We start from the raw sequence: 20,015 nt of genomic DNA on the forward strand, positions 1-20,015 counted from the left end.
AACTTCCTGCCAGAAATGTGGTTCAAGCACTTTTGTCTTGACAAGTGAAGAACCTGGTCAAGAAATGTGACCGTTGACTCTGGTGCTTGGAAGGAACAGGGTCATTTGGATAGAAGAGGGTGTTGTGAATCAGAGTTGGGAGGTATGGAGGAATGAGTCAATGTGGAATGATTGTGAATGTCTCTGCGAGTTTGTGTGCTTTTCCCCAGAAAATACGTTCCCATATGCAAAGCACAACACAAAGATTGATATTCTAGAAACAAAATTTGATCACCACTGCATTTTTGCAAAAAATCAACCCATTCATTCCTCACCACAGCTGTAGCTGAAGGTAAGTTTAATATCCCAAGTCCTCACATGGAGATGATGTAGAGATGAATTTTTCAGGCTTTTGGTCTCCTAAATGGAAATGGCATAGATGAACTCGGGAATGGGTGGAAGGGTGATGCTGTGGGCTACTAGTCTGAAGTTATAACATGGCCCTGGTGTAACTTGTCACCATGTCAGAGAGTCCTTAGCATCTATGTGTATGTGGAAGTATGTTGGCCTATAAAGATCTCCAGCACTGTATACCACAATAGAATGGTCTCAATGGTCAGCTGACCCAGAGTTTGAGTAGGTTCATTGTACAGTGAACTTGGGTGCGGTCATTAATATGAAACATACAGAGGGAGCTGCCAGGCCTTTGGTCTTAAGTGATGGGGTATTCCTCAGTTCCTGGTCAAGGGCAGAGAACATTCAGAGATATATTCTATTATATTTAATGAGATCATCACCACAAACGTTAGAAATGCTCCAATTCAGTAGCACACATACCCAAGACACAGCACCCAACAAGATCTCACAGAGCCAATTGGCTGTTAGCCTGGTGCCCATCTTGTCTGCTGGAATCTCTGCACAGCTGGGTAACAGAGGGTCAGCGCTCCCACCTGCTGTCACCCATGAAGGGCTGTCCCATTCCTGGAGCCAGTGTGAGTATGAGCAACAGCGGGCCCCATGACACACACACACAGTGTTAAAAGAAAGAGCAGAAGGACAAATATCACAGGCTAAGTAGAGGTCATCTTTAAATGGTAGGATAATTGAGTATTTTCAAATCTTGGTTTAGTCTTCTTTGAAACAAAGGTTAGTGAATATGTAGAATATTTTGGCTAGAATTATATCACCTCTTTGAAGAAAGGTTGCTTTTTACCTCGTACAAAATGTTCTGGCTGGAGACGGTGGCTCATGCCTGTAATCCCAGTGCTTTGGGAGGCCAAGGAGGGTGGATTACCTAAGGTCAGGAGTTCAAGACCAGCCTGATCAACATGGAGAAACCCCATCTCTACTAAAAATACAAAATTAGCTGGGCATGGGAGCACATGTCTCTAATACCAGCTACTCAGGAAGCACATGTCTTTAATACCAGCTACTCAGGGAGCACATGTCTGTAATACCAGCTACTCAGCTACCCATTCATCGTCCACCACAGCTGTACCTGAAGATAAGTTTAATATCCCCAGTCCTCAGATGGACATGCTGCAGAGTTGAATTTCCCAAGCTCTTGGTCTTTTAAATGGAAGAGACACATGTGAACTCGGGAATGAGTGGAAGGTTAATGCCATGGGCTACTACACTGAATTTGTCACAAAGCCCTGGTATAATTTCTTGCTAGGCCAAGTTATTCCAGCACTTCTGTGTGCTGGAAGAATGAAAACCTATTCAGATCCCAAACACTATCATTATCGGATGGTCTCAATGGTCAGCTAACCCAGGGTTTGTTTGAGTAGGTACATTGCACTGTGGGCTTTAGTGTGATCATTAATGTAAAACACACAGAGTCCTCAGGCTTTTGGTCTACAGCGTTGAGGTCATTCCTCAGCTCCTGTTCAAAAGCAGACAATAATCAGTGACATACTCTATTGTATTTAAGGAGATAATCACCACAAGTCTTAGAAATTCAGTGGAAACCAATCCCAACACATAGCATCCAATAAAATCTCAAGACTCAACTTGGGTGTTAGCCTGGCACCCATTTTCCCTGATGGAATCTCTGCACAGCTGGGTTGGAGAGGGTCAGTGCCCACCCCTTGCCCCGCCTCGCTGCTCCCCATGACAGACTGTCTCTGTGCTGGAGTCAGTGTGAGCATGAGCAGCAGTGAACTCCATGGTGCACACACATGGTGTTGAAAAGGAAGAGCGGAAGAACAAATATCACATGCTAAGTAGGGGTCATCGTTAAATGGTAGGATAATAGAGTATTTTCAAATCTCTGTTTATTTGCCTTGTAACAGAAAGTTAGTAATAAAATCTTTTGGCTAGAATTAAATCTCCTATTTTAAGAAAGGTTACTTCTTGTTTAGTACAAAATCTTCTAGAAGGGATGATAAACAGATCAGCAGCACATGTGGATTCTGAGGAGGAAATGACTTTGGCAGGGATCAATAAGAGGGCAAGTTAGCTCAGGTCAGATTAGGAAGGAGGAGCCCTAAGAGGCTGCCAGGGACACACAGCCTGCACTGCTGGTGTGCACTGTTTGAGATTGGCTATTATATGTTTATGAGGCGGCCTGGAGCTAGGAAGCCAAAGGCCCTGATTCCCTTTCTTCCTGCATCTCTCCTGTGCCTGCTACCCTCCTCCCAAGCCCACCTCAAGCAGTGTTACTGAATTGTTCATGAGCGCCACCACCAAGGTGCTGACGGTCACTCTGTATCCTCCTAGTTGAGATGAAACGGCAACTACGGCGACTACGGGAGCTCCACCTATACAGCACATGGAAGAAGTACCAAGAGGCGATGAAGGTCAGGCCACCTGGATTTGTCTGAGAAAAAACAGTTGCTTTCTTAGCTTTATCTTATTTGGATTAAATTAAGATATGAGACTCTGACAATATGTATCTTAGTTACACAGTGTCCTTGGGGGGAATTGTAAGTGAGAGTCTGTCCCCACTGAGGCTTGATTTAAAACAGTGGGAGAAAATGACAGCATCAGTCACACATTGTGGGGCAGGGAGCTTTTGCCTTACTAATTTTGTTCTCTCTTTGGAGCAAAATCAGTTACTTGCCAACCAACATGGACTTGAGAGGAAATATCCTCTGAGAAAAATTTGTGTCTTTAGTATGAGTTGATTTGCTCTGTTCTTCTTTGGGGTTCCTTTGAACACTGGTTTTTCCATCTTGTTTTCTAATGTCACTAAGTGAAGAAAAGTCCTGTGCTCACAGGACACAGCATGGTCTGATGCTCATAGCAATTTATTTTCTGTCGTTACAGACATCCTTGGGAGTTCCACAATGTGGTACGTATTGGGGAACCCCTCTCATACTGATGAGTAATCTAGATGTTGAGGAATGTGGCCCTGTCTCACAGGCTTTCCTGTAGACAGGCAGCCTGAGCTGAGCTTCATGTTGTGAATGAGGACCTAGACTGTGATGGGAGAAATGGTTTTTCTAGATAAGAAACAGTGGCCACATTCTGCAGTCCCCGGGAACAACTGTGTTCTCTGAAGGTGGGGTGGGATCCCGTGCAAGGGGCCTGCCATGTCTTTTGTGAATTCATGTGGTGCCATGGTCCGTGTGTCTGGCGGGCGGGTGTGTGGGTTTCCATACTACATATCCCCAGAGTTTCTAGTGTCCACATTCTCAACAGAGATTTCCGTCACCATTGCGGTCCTATTGTAGGCACAAAAAAAGATTAACTTGTAAGCTTCCAATGTTTGCAGTTTATTTCATGCACAGGGCACTTCAATAAACCTAAAAGAAATCCTGTCAACACAAAGGCAAATTCTTACTGCACACCCATAGAACAGGACTGTGTCAGAATCTCTGCTGATTTTATTTTTTCATTCAGAATTCCCTGCTATACTTTATTTTCTAATAAACCTCACCTCTTCACAGGCCTTTCTATTTCCTCTGCCACTGGAGTGGTCATGACACCTCACTCTAGCCCCTTCCCTCCTTTACAAGCCTTTTATCTACCAAAGCCCTCAGAATTGACCCTCCACCACCCATCTTGAGCAGGGAGAGTGGGGCAGGGCTTCTTCCTGTGCATTTAGACCCTGGAGCAGCCTCATGCTACAGCGAGTTCTGGGAAACTGAGAAAGGAGCCTGCAGGTGGGGTTGGGGTGAAATCACCCCAACTTTCTCCATTGAGGCCTCATATTGACCATAAGATAATGGGGCCCAGAATGGATAATTCCAGGGTCATATAGAGTTTCAGCCTTCTATCCCTCAGCCTAGTCATGGTTTCTGTGTGCTCGGCTCAGAAACTACATGAAAAGAAAACCAAGGGGTTTGCCCTAGGGTCTGAGAGGCAGGGCGAGCACTTGCCTTCCTAGCATGATGGAGGGTGGCTCATGCACTGCAGGTGGGAAAGCAAACTCGGCTGTGGTACTGCAGAGGCTCCACGATGTCCCCATTCAACCGACTGTTGGCAAAGGTGCTTGTTTGTTTCTGAAGGCTGTTGCAAAAAAAAAAAAAAAAAACAAAAAAAAAACAAGTGAATGCAGTTGGTTTCGGTGAATAGGAATATAAAGTCAGCCAAATTTAGCTTGAGTTTTTTCTTGGAGTATGCATTTGGTGGAAACTTATTGTGTATAAATCAAATTTGATTGCTGTGTAGGTGTCATTACTTATCCCACGTTGTAAAACAATCAGGCTGGTGTGATTTGAAAATGTCCTTCACTAACCTCAGACACTGTCCCCTCATAACCCGATTCCCCTAGTCATCTTTAATCTCTAGAATATAGTTTCTTGTGGTACTCAGGGGGCTTTCTGCTGTGAGCGATTAAAGGTACAAATCAGTGTTACCAACATTGGGGCTCTAAAAATTCATAGACAGCTGCCCGTTGGGCTCTATGCGAGAGACAGCAGGCTACAGCCTTGGCCTGGGCCTGCAGAGGAACATGATTTGGAGGAGCAGAAGGAAGGCATGAGGGCAGCAAAGCCACGAGGGAAGCCAAGGTGCAACATCAGGAGAGTCAGTTCTACATCACCTGGGCACGGCCGGAATGTTCAAGCCTCATCTGAAGGAGGAGTTGAGCTCCGACTTCATGGCTGGCCTGAACATTGGCCATCTTCCCAAAAGCCTGGACAGAGGAGCTACTTTCTTGTTTCTTGTCTTCTCCATCTCCCTGTGTGTTGACAGCAATGGCACCACCAGAAATTAGTGAGAGACAGAGAACAGGAGTGAGTTCCTGAAATGTTCAACTTAGCCCAGAGAGGACATGATCATTAGGGATGGACTTCAGGGTCAGGCCAGACACAGAGTAGTTGCCAGGCTTGATCACCCTGTGGCTGGGACAAAGATCAGCTTCTGGGAGTCGCTGGACAGGTGGTCCTTGTGTAGCTACTATTGGCCAAGAGTGTCCTGGCCCAGAGTTCCGTTTTACTGGAGGGAGCCTCAGCTCCAAGGCAGGGCAGCTGCCCAATGCTAGTGTTGGAGGAGGCGAGGAGGGGACCTTGCTCTAAGGCAGGCTGAACTCAACAAAGGGAGAGGGGCTGCCCTGGAGTTTAGGTGGTCCTTGCAACCCTCCCGCGTGATCCATAAGAGATCAGTTTCTCTGAGACAGCCTTGCAATCATCAGTCCCAAAGTCTGTAGTCTCCTACTCACAGGTGGAGGAATCCTGGCCATGGCTGGTCACTGGGAGGGCAGGGACTGTGTCCTCATCCTTCTTTCTCATCCCAGAGCTCAGCTCTGGGCAGCCCATCTTGGGCCCCAGTGATGTTCCGATGCCTGCATTCCTGTTCTGAGATCTAGCACAAGTGTGCAAAAACTTTCTGCTCATTTTCTATAGTCTCCGGGTTCCCACACTTACCCAGTTACCTGCGTGGGTTGTAATCCAGGGTCGGGGAGAAGAGGGTGGGCTCCTCAAACAGTGAGGTTTTCTCTTCTCTGCCCCTGCGGTTCTGGTCTGTCTGTTCCTGAAGTGTGCACTGAATGATTACAATAATAAATTTTGTATATGTTTTACCACAACAATGTCTGAAGTTCAATAAAATGAATGGAAAGTGCAAGAGAGGCATATGTAGACCCAGGAAAGATAAATGACATTGTCACATTTCAACAGGAAAGTGGAAATTTCCCAGGCCTCAAAACGCATAGGGGAATGATGAGACACTGCCATGGCATCAGCAGTGCATGTCTGTGCTGCCAAGGCTCTGTCTTCCGTGGCTTTCCTGATGGTCTCATTGACCTTTCTTCATCACCAAGGAGGATGTTCTGGCAGGAGGTCCGTTTTTGCAGTTAACCCCCCTTGTCTACATGTGCCAGCCCCGTGTTTTTAGCACACAAGTCTGCCTGACGGATTCCTTCAGTGCACCCAACGTGCTGACAATTACTCTGTGTTTCCTAGAGCGTGACGAAGGCTCCTTGGGCAAGCCATTGTGTCCACCCGAGATACTCTCGGAGACGTTGCCAGGCTCTGTGAAGGTAAAGTCTTTTTTGTTTATCTGAGGTGGGAATTTTATTTCTCTTAGTTTCCATAGAAATTGAGATAAGAGATGATCATCTTACCATGTACATTATAGATGACTTACAGAATGTCTTGGTGGGCAGCTGTAAAGTCAGAGTCAATTACCAGCAAGAATGAATTCAAGATGACAGGTTCACTTAAAAACTCTAGGGCAGTAAGCATTTTCCATAGGAGAAGTGCTTCCTTCTTGAAACTAATGGTGAACATGCAATGAAAATAAACTTGGAAATCATGCACAGAAAACTTGTGCCTTTCCACGTGCCCTCTAGGCTTTAATTTGGAGCCCTTGTGTTGACTATTTTCACTATTTCCATTGGGTTTTCTATAATGTCAACAATGCAGAAAAGACCTGTGCACACAGGCCACAGTGTGGTCTGACTCTCATAATGTTTTTCTTTTCTCTATTTGCAGAAAAGGGTATGCTTTCCATCAGAAGGTATGTATTCTGGGTTTACTCTTTTTATTGTTTTTATTTTGCTTGCAATTCTAGGATGCATGTGTAGAACATGCAGCTTTGTTACATCGGTATAAATGTGTCATGGTGGTTTGCTGCACCTAAGCCTTGATCATGGCACTGCATTCTAGCCTGGGCAACACAGTGAGATTTCATCTCAAAAAAAAAAAAAATGCAGAGAACAATCAGGGACATATTCTACTATGTTTAATAACATGATGGCCACAAGTGTTCCACATGCCCTTATTCAGCCCACACATCCAATACACAGTGCAGAATAAGAGCTCAAGGAAGAATTGGGGTGTTATTCTGGTGTCCATCACCCCAGTGGGATTTCCTGCACAGCTAGTTTGGAGAGTGTTAGCGCCCCCACCTACTGCCCCCCATGATGATCTGTCCTAGTGCTGGAGTCAGCGTGAGCATGAACAGCAACTGACTCCATGGACACATACATCGTGTTGAAAAGGAAGAGTGGAAGGACAAATAAGCTAAGTGCGGGTCATTTTTAAATGGTAGGATAATTGAGTATTTTCAAATCTTGGTTTAATTCTGTTTGACTCAAAGGTTCAGTGAAGTCATAAGTTTTTTTGACTTCAGGGTCAGGCCAGACACAGAGTAGTTGCCAGGCTTGATCACCAAAGGTTAAATTTTTTTGAAGAAAGGTTGCTTTTATGCAGTACAAAATGTTTTAGGAGGGATGATGAACAGCAGCAGCACATGTGGATCCTGAGGGGGAAATGACCTCAGAAGGGATCACAAAGGGAGGGCAAGTTAGCTCAGGTCAGATTAGGAAGGAGGAACCTGAGACGTTGTAGGGAAGCACAGCCTGCCCCTATGGTGTGCCATCTTTGAGATCAGCTGAGTGCCATTGATGAGCTTGCGTTAGCCAGAGGACCAACGCTCTAGTTCCCATGGCTTTCCTCGTTGTCTCATTTGCCTGCCTGCACCACCAAGGAGAAAGGGCCTGCGGCTCCGTCTGGGGTAGCCAACCTTCTTCACACATGCCAGCCTCATGTCCACACCACCCAATACAACCCGAGGGATTCCCTCAGCGGAATCCATGCAGTGACACTTACCCTATTTCTCCTAGATCATCTAGAGGAGTTTATAGCAGAACATCTCCCTGAAGCATCCAATCAGAGTCTCCTCACTGTTGCCCATGTAAGTTGTTCTTTTTTTGTCTGAAAGGGGAATTTCATTTTCCTAGGTTTCTTTCAATTTCACTTGAATAAAGATAGGAAAATCTTACTGCCATGTACATTACAGATGACTTACAGAATTTCTTGGTGGGAAAATGTAAAATGAGAATTCATTACTAACTAAGAACTGATTGAAGATGGCATTCATAGATGACAGCTTCAGTTACAAACTATGTCAGCAAGCATTGTCCTCAGGAGAAAAACCTTTTTGAGAATTATGAATTTGCAACCAAAATAAATTTTAAATAATCTTGCACAAAAACCTGGTGCCTTTCTACAAGTGTTCTCTAGGCTTTATTTTTGTGGCCATTGCCTCCACCAGAATTTCCCATCTGGTTTTCTAATAGCACCAAGTTTAGAAAAGACCTGTGCACAGAGACAGCATGATCTTACCCTCATGGTGTTTTTCTTTCTCTAAACGCAGGCAGACACAGGCATCCAAACCAACGGTACGTATTCTGGGATCACCTTTTTGCTAAGGAAAAATCTTAGTGTTGAGAAAGGTGACACGTTCTTGCCTGCGTTTTCTGGAGAACCACTCTCATTGGAGCTTCCTATTGGAAAATGGGGTTTGGGAAGAAATTTCTAAGAGTGTACTGACGAGTGGTGACCATCCTACGTAGTCTCTGTTAGCTGCCGTGTCATTCTATGAAATCGAATGAGGTGCATCAAGGTGGGGGGCGGGTATAAGAAGAGAGTCTATGTATAGTGATTATGAATGTCTTTGGGAGGATGTGTATATTTCTCCAGATAGCATGCTTCCATGTGCACAGCTCAACACAAAGATGAGTGTTGTAAATAAAAATTCCATTACCACTGCACACCTTAACGTCACTCTGCCCATTTATCCTCCACCACAGCTGTAGCTGAAGGCCAGTTTAATATCCCCAGTACGCAGCTGGAGATAGTGCAGAGATGAATTTGCCAAGTGCTTTATCTCCTCAGTGCAAGAGGTAGAGGTGAACTCAGGAGTGGGTGGAAGGTTGATGCCATGGGCTACTACTCTGAAGTAATCACATGGTTCAGGTATAATTTGTTGTTATGCCGGAGAGTTTTAGCACCTATGTGTGCATATGGAAGTTGGATGGCCTTCAGAAATCCCAAGCACTGTCTCTCATGTAGGATTGTCTCAATGGTCACATAACTCCGTGTAGGAATAAGTACATTTTACAGTGGACTTTGGTGTGGTGACAGATGGGAAACAGACAATGCGAGGTCAGGCTTTTGGCTGCAGTGCTGCGTTATTTTCTCATCTCCTGATCCAAAGCAGAAAATAATCAGGCGTGTTATGTTGTATTTAACGGCATAAACTCCACAAGCCTTACATATGCTGCAGTTCAGCACACACCCCCGAGACACAGCACCAAATAAGAACCGAAGGAAAAACTTGGGTGTTATCCTGGTGCTCATCTTCTCTGCTGGACTCTTCTACACAGCTGGGTTGGAGAGGTTCAGCACCCCCACCTGCTGCCCCCGTGATGGGCTGTCCTAGTGCTGGAGCCAGTGTGAGCATGAGCAGCAGCAGGTCCCGTGGCACACGCACACTGTGTTAAAAGGAAGGGCAGAAGGACAAACATCACGGGCCAAGTAGCAGTCATCTTTAAATGGTAGGATAATTGAGTATTTTCAAATCTTGGTTTAGTCTTCTTTAAAACAAAAAGTTAGTGAATACATAGAATATTTTGATAGAATTAATCTCCTCATTGAAGAAAGGTTGCTTTGTTTCTAGTACAGAATATTCTGGTCAGGCATGGTGGCTCACACCTGTAATTCCAGCAGTTTGGGGGGCCAAGACGGGTGGATCACCTGAGGCCAGGCGTTCGAAACCAGGCTGACCAACATGGAGAAAACCCATCTCTCCTAAAAATACAGAATTAACCGGGCATGGTGATGCATGCCTATAATCCCAGCTACTCAGGAGGCTGAGGCTGGAGAATCACTTGAACCTGGGAGGCAGAGGTGGTGGTGGGTTGAGATTGCACAATTATACTCCAGCTGGGGCAAGAAGAGAGTAACTCCATCTCAAAAATAATAATAATAATAATTCTAGGAGGGACAAAATACACAGCAGCAGGACATGTGGATCCTGGGGAGGAAATGACCTCTAGGGGATCAAGAAGGGAGGGCAAGTTAGCTCAGGTCAGATTAGGAAGGAGAAGCTGTCGATGCTCCAGGGAAACACTGTGTGGTGTGCCCTGTTTGAGATGGGTTACTTCATCTCAAAGAGGTTGCCTTAGCTAGAGGACCAAGGCTCTGTCTTCTGAGACCTTCCTGGTGCCTTCCTTCACCATTTGCCTTCCCTCTCCACCATGGAGGATGGACCGGCAGCAGCTGAGTCTGTGCTGTGAACACACCTTTCCACACACGCCAGCCCCGTGTCCACAGCTCCAAGACCACCTGAGGGATTCACTCAGTGGAGCTCATGTGCTTATAGCGACTCTGTTTCCTAGGTGACCTGGAAGACCTGGAGGAGCATGGGCCAGGGCAGACAGTCTCTGAGGAAGCCACAGAAGTTCACATGGTAAAGTCGTCTTCTTTCCTCTGAAAAGGAAATTTTATTTCTCTCGGTTTCTCTGTTTCAATTGAATTAAGATGTATACATCTCACCATGTACACTATAGGTGACTGACAGAATTTCTTGGTGGGCAAATGTCAGCGTTCATTATCAACTAAAGAGTGGTTTCAGATGGCATCCACATTTACAAACTGTGTGTCAGCAGGCATTTACCTTAAGAGAAATGTCTTCTTGAGAAAAATTTGGAATTGTCAAACAAAAACAATTGAAAATCTTGCACAAAAATCTTGTGCCTTTCCACGAATGTCTTCTAGATATCGGGGCCATTGTCTCAAGTACTATTTACCATCTGTTTTTTTAACATAAACAAGTGAAGAGAAGACCTGTGCACACAGGACACAGCCTGGTCTGAACCTCATAGTGTTTTGTTTTTCTCTAGATGGAGGGGGACCCAGACACACTGGCCGAACGTACGTATTCTGGGATCATCTCTTTGTTTAGGTTCAAAATATTAGAGTTGCAAAGATGGCACTGTTTTGCCTGCCTTTGTTCAAGAGCCACTCTGGTTTGAGCTGTCTGCCAGAAATGAGATTTGGGAAGTTTGGTTTAAAAGAATGCTAAGATCCAGTAAACCACTCTAACCATGCTACTGTCATCCCTGGAAGCAGCAGTGTCATCTAAGGTGGGGTGGTACATCAGGGATGGGAGGGACAGAGGAGAGAGTCTGTATGGAATGATTGTGGATGTCTTTGGGAGTGTGTGTGCATTTCCCCAGAAAACACACTCCCATCTGCAAAGCACAACATGAGGATCAATGTTCAAGAAAAATTCCATCACCACTGCACAGTTTGCATAAATCAACCCATTCATCCTCCACCACAGCTGTACCTGAAGATAAGTTTAATATCCGCAGTCCTCAGATGGACATGCTGCAGAGTTGAATTTCCCAAGCTCTTGGTCTTTTAAATGGAAGAGGCACATGTGAACTCAGGGATGAGTGGAAGGTTAATGCCATGAGCTAGTACACTGAATTTGTCACAAAGCCCTGGTATAATTTCTTGCTAGGCCAAGTTATTCCAGCACTTCTGTGTGCATGTGGGAGAATGAAAACCTATTCAGATCCCAAACACTATCATTATCAGATGGTGTCAATGGTCATCTAACCCAGGGTTTGTTTGAGTAGGTACATTGCACAGTGGGCTTTAGTGTGATCATTAATGTAAAACACACAGAGTCCTCAGGCTTTTGGTCTACAGCGTTGAGGTCATTCCTCAGCTCCTGTTCAAAAGCAGACGATAATCAGTGCCATACTCTATTGTATTTGATGAGATAATCACGGCAAGTCTTAGAAGTTCAGTGGAACCCAATCCCAAGACATAGAATCCAATAAAAAAAAGTCAAGGCTCAACTTGGGTGTTAGCCGGGCACCCATTTTCCCTGCTGGAATCTCCTGCACAGCTGGATTGGAGAGGGTCAGTGCCCACCCCCCGCACCCCCTCGCTGCTCCCCATGACAGGCTGCTCCAGTGCTGGAGTCAGTGTGAGCATGGGGAGCAGTGAACATCATGCTACACACAAATTCTGTTGAAAAGGGAAAGTGGAAGAACAAATACCACATGCTAAGTAGGGGTCATCTTTAAATGGTAGGAAAATTATTTTCAAATCTTGGTTTATTTGCCTTGTACCAGAAAGTTAGTAATAAAATCTTTTGGCTAGAATTAAATCTCCTATTTTAAGAAAGGTTGCTTCTTATTCCGTACAAAATCTTCTAGAAGGGATGATAAACAGATCAGCAGCACATGTGGATTCTGAGGAGGAAATGACTTTGGCAGGGATCAATAAGAGGGCAAGTTAGCTCAGGTCAGATTAGGAAGGAGGAGCCCTCAGAGACTGCCAGGGACACACAGCCTGCACTGCGTGGTGTGCACTGTTTGAGATTGGCTATTTTATGTTTATGAGGTGGCCTGGAGCTAGGAAGCCAAAGGCCCTGATTCCCTTTCTTCCTGCATCTCTCCTGTGCCTGCTACCCTCCTCCCAAACCCACCTCAAGCAGTGTTACTGAATTGTTCATGAGCACCACCACCAAGGTGCTGATGGTCACTTTGTATCCTCCTAGTTCTGATCAGGGATGTACTTCAGGAGCTGTCCAGTTACAACGGCGAGGAGGAGGACCCAGAGGAGGTGAAGGTCAGGCCAACTGGATTTGTCTGAGAAAAAACTGTTGCTTTCTTAGCTTTATCTTATTTGGATTAAATTAAGATATGAGACTCTGACGATATATATCTTAGTTACACAGTGTCCTTGGGGGAAATGGTAAGTGAGAGTCTGTCCCCACTGAGGCTTGATTTAAGACAGTGGGAGAAAATGACAGCATCAGTCACCCGTTGTGTAACAGTGAGCCTTACCAATTTTGTTCTCTTTGGAGCAAAATCAGCTACTTGCCAGCCAACATGGACTTCAGAGGAAACATCCTCTGAGAAAAATGTGTGTCTTTAGTATGAGTTGATTTGTTCGCTTCTTTGGGGTTCCTTTGAACACTGGGTTTTCCATCTTGTTTTCTAATGTCACTAAGTGAAGAAAAGTCCTGTGCTCACAGGACACAGCATGGTCTGATGCTCATAGCAATTTATTTTCTGTCGTTACAGACATCCTTGGGAGTTCCACAACGTGGTACGTATTGGGGAACCCCTCTCATACTGATGAGTAATCCAGATGTTGAGGAATGTGGCCCTGTCTCACTGGCTTTCCTGTAGACAGACAGCCTGAGCTGAGCTTCATGTTGTGAATGAGGACCTAGACTGTGATGGGAGAAATGGTTTTCTAGATAAGAAACAGTGGCCACATTCTGCAGTCCCCGGGAGCAGCTGTGTTCTCTGAAGGTGGGGTGGGATCCCGTGCAAGGGGCCTGCTCATGTCTTTTGTGAATTCATGTGGTGCCGTGGTCAGTGAGTCTGGGGGCGTGTGTGTGGGTTTCCGTACTACATATCCCCGGATTTTCTAGTGTCCACATTCTCAACAGAGATTTCCATCACCGTTGCAGTCCTGTTGCAGGCACATGAAAAAATTAACTTGTAAGCTTCCAAAGTGTACAGTTTATTTCACGCACAGGACACTTTAATTAACCTAAAAGAAATCCTCTCCACACCCAGGCAAATTCTTACTGCACACCCATAGAACAGGACTGTGTCAGGATCTCTGCTGATTTTATTTTTTCATTCAGAATTCCCTGCTATACTTTATTTTCTAATAAACCTCACCTCTTCACAGGCCTTTCTATTTCCTCTTGCCACTAGAATGGCATGACACCTCACTCTAGCCCCTTCCCTCCTTTACAAGCCTTTTCTACCAAAGCCCTCAGAACTGACCCTCCACCACCCATCTTGAGCAAGGAGAGTGGGGCAGGGCTTCTTCCTGTGCATTTAGACCCTGGAGCAGCCTCATGCTACAGCGAGTTCTGCTGGGAAACTGAGAAGAGAGGAGCCTGCAGGCGGGGTTAGGGGGAAATCACCCCAACTTTCTCCATAGAGGTCTCATATTGACCATAAGATAATGGGGCCCAGAATGGATAATTCCAGGGTCATGTAGAGTTTCAGCCTTGTATCCCTCAGCCTAGTCATGGTTTCTGTGTGCTCGGCTCAGAAACTACAACATGAAAAGAAAACCAAGGGGTTTGCCCTAGGGTCTGAGAGGCAGGGTGAGCACTTGCCTTCCTAGCATGATGGAGGGTGGCTCATGCAGTGCTGTGTTATTTTCTCATGTCCTGATCAAAAGCACAAAATAATCAGGTGTGTTATATTGTATTTAATGGCATAATCTCCACAAGCCTTACATATGCTGCAGTTCAGCACATACCCCCAAGACACAGCACCAAATAAGAACCGAAGGAAAAACTTGGATGTTACCCTGGTCCTCATCTTCTCTGCTGGACTCCTACACAGCTGGGTTGGAGAGGTTCAGCACCCCCACCTGCTGCCCCCATGATGGGCTGTCCTAGTGCTGGAGCCAGTGTGAGCATGAGCAGCAGCAGGTCCCATGGCACACACACACTGTGTTAAAAGGAAGAGCAGAAGCACAAACACCATGGGCCAAGTAGCGGTCATCTTTAAATGGTAGGATAATTGAGTATTTTCAAATCTTGGCTTAGTCTTCTTTAAAACAAAAGGTTAGTGAATACGTAGGATATTTTAGTTAGAATTAAGTCTCCTCTTTGAGGAAGGGTTGCTTTTTATCTAGTACAAAAGTTGTGACATGGTGACTGACGCCTGTAACCCCAGCACTTTGGGAGGCCAAGGCGCGCAGATTACCTGAGGTTGAGAGTTCGAGACCAGACTGACCAACATGGAGAAAACCCGTTTCTCCTAAAAATACAGAATTAGCCAAGCATGGAGATGCATGCCTGTAATCCTAGCTACTCAGGAGGCTGACACTGGAGAATCACTTGAACCCAGGTGGCACAGGTTGTGGTGGGTCGAGATGGCACCATTATACTCCAGCCTGGGCAAGAAAAGAGAAACTCCATCTCAAAAAAAAAAAAAAAAGCAAGTTCTGGGAGGGACAAAAAACACAGCAGCAGGACAGGTGGATCCTGGGAGGAAATGACCTCGAGGGGATAAAGAAGGGAGGACAAGTTAGCTGAGGTCAGATTAGGAAGGAGGAGCCCTGGAGGCTGCAGTGAAACACTGTGTGGTGTGCCCTGTTTGAGATGGGCTCTTTCATGTCGAAGAGGTTGGCGTAGCTAGAGGACCAAGGCTCTGTCTTCTGAGACCTTCCTGGTGCCTTCCTTCACCATTTGCCTTCCCTCTCCACCATGGAGGATGGACCGGCAGCAGCTGAGTCTGTGCTGTGAACACACCTTTCCACACACGCCAGCCCCGTGTCCACAGCTCCAAGACCACCTGAGGGATTCACTCAGTGGAGCTCATGTGCTTATAGCGACTCTGTTTCCTAGGTGACCTGGAAGACCTGGAGGAGCATGTGCCAGGGCAGACAGTCTCTGAGGAAGCCACAGGGGTTCACATGGTAAAGTCGTCTTCTTTCCTCTGAAAAGGAAATTTTATTTCTCTCGGTTTCTCTGTTTCAATTGAATTAAGATGTATACATCTCACCATGTACACTATAGGTGATTGACAGAATTTCTTGGTGGGCAAATGCCAGAGTTCATTATCAACTAAAAAATGGTTTCAGATGGCATCCACACTTAGAAACTGTGTGTCAGAGGCATTTTCCTTAAGAGAAATGCCTTCTTCTTGAGAAAAATTTGGAATTGTCAAACAGAAACAATTGAAAATGTTGCACAGAAATCCTGTGCCTTTCCAGGAATGTCTTCTAGATACCGGGGCCATTGTCTCAACCACTGTTTACCATCTGGCTTTTTAATGTCAACAAGTGAAGACCTGTGCACACAGGAGACAGCATGGTCTGACCCTCATGGTGTTTTCTTTTTCTCTAGATGCAGGTGGACCCAGCCACGCCGGCAAAGAGTACGTATTCTGGGATCATCTCTTTGTTTAGGTTTGAAATCTTAGTGTTGTAAAGGTGGCGCTGCTTCACCTGCTTTTGCTCAAGGGCCACTCTGGTTTGAGCTTTCTGCCAGAAATGAGATTTGGGAAGTTCAGTTTAAAAACTACTAAGAGTCACACCGGGCACAGTGGCTCACGCCTGTAATCCCAGCACCTTGAGAGGTGGAGACGGGCGGATCAGCAGAAGTCAGGAGTTTGAGACCAGCCTGACTGACATTGAGAAACCCCATCGCTCCTAAAAATACAAAATTACCTGGGTGTGTTGTCACATGCCTGTAATCCCAGCTACTCAGGAGGCTGAGGCAGGAGAATCACTGGAACCCAGGTGGTAGAGGTTGCAGTGAGCCAAGGTTGTGCCATTGCACTTCAGCCTGGGCAACGAGTGAAACTCTGTCTCAAAAAAAAAAAAAAAAAAAAACCCAACAAACTGGGAGTCCAGTACTCTAACCATGCTACTGTCATCCCTGGAAGCAGCAGTGTCATCTAAGGTGGGGTGGTACATCAGAGTTGGGAGGGACAGAGGAGAGAGTCTATATGGAATGATTGTGGATGTCTTTGCGAGTGTGTGTGCATTTCCCCAGAAAACATACTCCCATGTTCAAAGCACAACACAAGGATCAATGTCCAAGAAAAATTCCATCACCACTGCACAGTTTCCATAAATCAATCCATTCATCCTCCACCACAGCTGTACCTGAAGATAAGTTTAATATCCACAGTCCTCAGATGGACATGCTGCAGAGTTGAATTTCCCAAGCTCTTGGTCTTTTAAGTGGAAGAGGCACATGTGAACTCGGGGATGAGTGGAAGGTTAACGGCATGAGCTACTACACTGAATTTGTCACAAAGCCCTTGTATAGTTTCTTCCTAGGCCAACTGATCCCAGCACTTCTGTGTGCATGTGGGAGAATGAAAACCTATTCAGATCCCACAGACTATCGTTATTGGGTGGTCTCAATGGTCAGCTAACCCAGGGTTTGAGTAGGTACATTGCACAGTGGGCTTTAGTGTGACCATTAATGTAAAACACACAGAGTCCTCAGGCTTTTGGACTACAGTGTTGAGGTCATTCCTCAGCTCCTGTTCAAAAGCAGACAATAATCAGTGCCATACTCTATTGTATTTAAGGAGATAATCACCGCAAGTCTTAGAAGTTCAGTGGAACCCAATCCCAAGACATAGCATCCAATAAAAAAATCTCAAGGCTCAACTTGGGTGTTAGCCGGGCACCCATTTTCCCTGCTGGAATCTCCTGCACAGCTGGGTTGGAGAGGGTCAGTGCCCGCCCCCCGCACCCCCTCGCTGCTCCCCATGACAGGCTGTCCCAGTGCTGGAGTCAGTGTGAGCATGAGGAGCAGTGAACATCATGGTGCACACAAATTCTGTTGAAAAGGGAGAGTGGAAGAACAAATACCACATGCTAAGTAGGGGTCATCTTTAAATGGTAGGATAATTATTTTCAAATCTTGGTTTATTTGCCTTGTAACAGAAAGTCAGTAATAAAATCTTTTGGCTAGAATTAAATCTCCTATTTTAAGAATGGTTGCTTCTTATTCCATACAAAATCCTCTAAAAGGGATGATAAACACATCAGCATCCTCCTCAGTGGATTGTGAGGAGGAAATGACTTTGGCAGGGATCAATAAGAGGGCAAGTTAGCTCAGGTCATATTAGGAAGGAGGAGTCCTGGATGCTGCAGTGAAACACTGTGTGGTGTGCTCTGTTTGAGATGGGCTCTTTCATGTCGAAGAGGTTGGCGTAGCTAGAGGACCAAGGCTCTGTCTTCTGAGGCCTTCCTGGTGCCTTCCTTCACCATTTGCCTTCCCTCTCCACCACGGAGGATGGACCGGCAGCAGCTGAGTCTGTGCTGTGAACACACCTTTCCACACATGCCAGCCCCGTGTCCACAGCTCCAAGACCACCTGAGGGATTCACTCAGTGGAGCTCATGTGCTTATAGCGACTCTGTTTCCTAGGTGACCTGGAAGACCTGGAGGAGCATGTGCCAGGGCAGACAGTCTCTGAGGAAGCCACAGGGGTTCACATGGTAAAGTCGTCTTCTTTCCTCTGAAAAGGAAATTTTATTTCTCTCGGTTTCTCTGTTTCAATTGAATTAAGATGTATACACCTCACCATATACACTATAGGTGACTGACAGAATTTCTTGGTGGGCAAATGCCAGAGTTCATTATCAACTAAACAGTGGTTTCAGATGGCATCCACACTTACAAACTGTGTGTCAACAGGCATTTTCCTTAAGAGAAATGCCTTCTTCTTGAGAAGAATTTGGAATTGTCAAAGAAAAACAATTGAAAATGTTGCACAGAAATCCTGTGCCTTTCCAGGAATGTCTTCTAGATACCGGGGCCATTGTCTCAACCACTGTTTACCATCTGGCTTTTTAACGTCAACAAGTGAAGACCTGTGCACACAGGAGACAGCATGGTCTGACCCTCATAGTGTTTTCTTTTTCTCTAGATGCAGGTGGACCCAGCCACACTGGCAAAGCGTACGTATTCTGGGATCATCTCTTTGTTTAGGTGTGAAATCTTAGTGTTGTAAAGGTAGTGCTGCTTCACCTGCTTTTGCTCAAGGGCCACTCTGGTTTGAGCTTTCTGCCAGAAATGAGATTTGGGAATTTTGGTTTAAAAACTACTAAGAGTCACACCGGGCACAGTGGCTCACGCCTGTAATCCCAGCACCTTGAGAGGCGGAGACGGGCGGATCAGCAGAGGTCAGGAGTTTGAGACCAGCCTGACTGACATTGAGAAACCCCACCGCTCCTAAAAATACAAAATTACCTGGGTGTGGTGTCACATGCCTGCAATCCCAGCTACTCAGGAGGCCAAGGCAGGAGAATCACTTGAACCGAGGTGGTAGAGGTTGAGGTGAGCCAAGGTTGTGCCATTGCACTCCAGCCTGGGCAACGAGCGAAACTCCGTCTCAAAAAAAAAAAAAAAAAAACAAAAAACAAAAAAACACCCCAACAAACTAAGAGTCCAGTACTCTAACCATGCTACTGTCATCCCTGGAAGCAGCAGTGTCATGTAAGGTGGGGTAGTACATCAGAGTTGGGAGGGACAGAGGAGAGAGTCTATATGGAATGATTGTGGATGTCTTTGTGAGTGTGTGTGCATTTCCCCAGAAAACATACTCCCATGTTCAAAGCACAACACAAGGATCAATGTCCAAGAAAAATTCCATCACCACTGCACAGTTTGCATAAATCAACCCATTCATCGTCCACCACAGCTGTACCTGAAGATAAGTTTAATATACCCAGTCCTCAGATGGACATGCTGCAGAGTTGAATTTCCCAAGCTCTTGGTCTTTTAAGTGCAAGAGGCACATGTGAACTCGGGGATGAGTGGAAGGTTAATGCCATGAGCTAGTACACTGAATTTGTCACAAAGCCCTGGTATAATTTCTTGCTAGGCCAAGTTATTCCAGCAATTCTGTGTGCATGTGGGAGAATGAAAAGCTATTCAGATCCCAAACACTATCGTTATCAGATGGTCTCAATGGTCAGCTAACCCAGGGTTTGTTTGAGTAGGTACATTGCACAGTGGGCTTTAGTGTGATCATTAATGTAAAACACACACAGTCCTCAGGCTTTTGGTCTAGAATGGTGAAATCATTCCTCAGCTCCTTTTCAAAAGCAGACAATAATCAGTGGCATATTCTATTGTATTTAATGAAATAATCATCAGGCAGGATACCTGCCCCACACTAGTTGCAGAGGAGGTGAGAACGGACCCTGCTTCAGTGCAAGGTGAACTCAGCAAAGGGAGAGGGGCTGCTCCAGAGTCCAGGTGGTCCTTGCAACTCTCCTGTGTGATGTATAAGACATCACTTTGCCTTTTTCTCTGAGATAGTCTTGG

The 20,015-nt window shown here is 45.7% G+C and overlaps 1 pseudogene across 1 annotated transcript in view; it reads left to right on the forward strand.

Moving 5' to 3' along the window:
* Positions 1 to 20,015, forward strand: part of FAM153B (family with sequence similarity 153 member B) — a 64,088-nt pseudogene that overhangs the window by 27,440 nt on the left and 16,633 nt on the right. The window contains exons 4-17 of the transcript NR_169299.1: positions 2,701 to 2,780; positions 3,250 to 3,274; positions 6,330 to 6,406; positions 6,861 to 6,885; positions 7,994 to 8,064; positions 8,527 to 8,551; positions 10,553 to 10,623; positions 11,057 to 11,087; positions 12,733 to 12,803; positions 13,262 to 13,286; positions 15,565 to 15,635; positions 16,066 to 16,096; positions 18,111 to 18,181; positions 18,613 to 18,643. The product of NR_169299.1 is annotated as a family with sequence similarity 153 member B (transcript). The remainder of the gene's footprint in view (positions 1 to 2,700; positions 2,781 to 3,249; positions 3,275 to 6,329; positions 6,407 to 6,860; positions 6,886 to 7,993; positions 8,065 to 8,526; positions 8,552 to 10,552; positions 10,624 to 11,056; positions 11,088 to 12,732; positions 12,804 to 13,261; positions 13,287 to 15,564; positions 15,636 to 16,065; positions 16,097 to 18,110; positions 18,182 to 18,612; positions 18,644 to 20,015) is intronic.

Source organism: Homo sapiens, chromosome 5 (genome assembly GCF_000001405.40).
Source record: "Homo sapiens chromosome 5, GRCh38.p14 Primary Assembly".
Classification (NCBI taxonomy): domain Eukaryota; kingdom Metazoa; phylum Chordata; class Mammalia; order Primates; family Hominidae; genus Homo; species Homo sapiens.